General features: G+C 37.3%; 1 annotated feature.

The window, feature by feature from the left end:
• Positions 1-1200: an enhancer, noted in NCBI's record as "P300/CBP strongly-dependent group 1 enhancer chr10:65466673-65467872 (GRCh37/hg19 assembly coordinates)". NCBI's record gives its function as "activates an origin of replication core promoter dependent on BRD2, BRD4, P300/CBP, MED14 and CDK7 cofactors, with strong dependence on P300/CBP, by STARR-seq in HCT116 cells {active_cell/tissue: HCT116}" and the evidence as "EXISTENCE:reporter gene assay evidence [ECO:0000049][PMID:35650434]".

The raw sequence follows: 1681 nt of genomic DNA, 5'->3' as shown, positions 1-1681 counted from the left end.
TAATCGCCAACACAAGCCATGAACACTGAACTGCATTCACAGTTGACAAAGCCATTTTTACACAGTATATTTTAAAATTCTACATATTTTGAAAATGCGGTTTTCATAAGAAACATTCCATTGTTGGTTACCTTCTGTGTATAAATGAATGTATCTTTCTAGAAAGATCCATTCATGTGTCCTCTTTAATCTGACCATCTATTGTCAACTTTTTCAAATGCAGCTGTCTTTTATAAATGTATCTACCAAATAATTGAATTGTTGTGATAGCAATTCTTTTTCCTTTTACACGTGCAATGTTTTCAATCAAATGTTGCCTAATAGCTAGGCTGTTTGGAAATTAATAATCTAAATAGATGGGAACAACAATATAGGTGTTTAAAGTTTAATTATTCCTTCAGGCTCATTGTGAGAATATCAAGGCTTTATTTATTAGTCTGATTCTATATTCCTTGGAGTATTTCATCTTATTCTACAACACTCTCCTTTTCTTCTTTTAAAAAAATACAACAAAACAATGAGGAGGTCAAATCTTATAAGGAACAAACATGACATCACATAGGGAAATGAGTCACTGTGCATCATACTGGGAACTGAGTCAGGACTAAACTGACTCACATCTTTCTGGGCCAAGAACCAATTCTAGTTATATCATGCTGGAAAATGACTCATTTACTACCTTTATTAGCTCCCCTCAAGATCAAATCAACAGCAAATTGGAGTAGGTCTTATGAAACTCAAGTGGCTCTGCTTGAGCCATTACTCTCTGCTGGTACACAGAGGATTTCTGTGTCTGAAATTAACTGGTTGTTTTGCCACAAGAACTCAAGCCCAGCCTTGCCAACAGTGTGTTGCACTTATCTGAGCTAACCACATCTAAACATTAGCATATCCATAATCTTTGTAGTCTCTACATGTAAGCAATTTTTAGATAATTGATTGAAAGCCTATCATTACTTATATAATAATCGTTGTAGAAAATAATCTGAAAAAAAACAACTACCCAGTTAGTGCTTTCATCAATAAAAAGTCAAAGCACAGCAATAGCTAACAGCTCTCTTTTTTGCCTTATGGTTATGCCACCTCCGCAAGTAAACTGAATGCAACAGAGAGCTGCACTAATAAAGTATTCCAGTTAAAACTGGAAAGGAAGACGGGAAAAATTAAAGTTCCAAAACCATGTCTTAATTTCCAAAGCATCTTAAATGAGTGCCTTTATAAGAAATGTTAACATTAACACCTGGGAATATACAAGGGATTATTTTTTAATGCGTGCATTGATACTAGCAGAATCTCCTAACTGGCTAATCTAGCCACAAACGCAGAGAAATTTTATACATATTCTTAAGTTCAAGCCAGGCACGCTGGCTCACACCTGTAATCCCATCACTTTGGGAGGCCAAGGTGGGCAGATAACCTGAGGTCAGAAGTTCCAGACCAGCCTGGCCAACATGGTGAAACCCCGTCTCTATTAAAAATACAAAAATTAGCCAGGCGTGATGGTGGGCGCCTGTAATCCCAGCTACTCGGGAGGCTGAGGCAGGAGAATCGCTTGAACCCAGGAGGTGGAGGTTGCAGTGAGCTGAGATGGCGCCACTGCACTCCAGCCTGTGCCACAGAGCAAGACTCCATCTCAAAATAAATAAATAAATATTAAAAAATACATATCCTTAAGTTCTGA

Source organism: Homo sapiens, chromosome 10 (genome assembly GCF_000001405.40).
Source record: "Homo sapiens chromosome 10, GRCh38.p14 Primary Assembly".
Taxonomy (NCBI): Eukaryota; Metazoa; Chordata; class Mammalia; order Primates; family Hominidae; genus Homo; species Homo sapiens.
The sequence above is the reverse complement of the archived record's forward strand: the minus strand, read 5'-3'. Positions and strand labels throughout refer to the sequence as shown.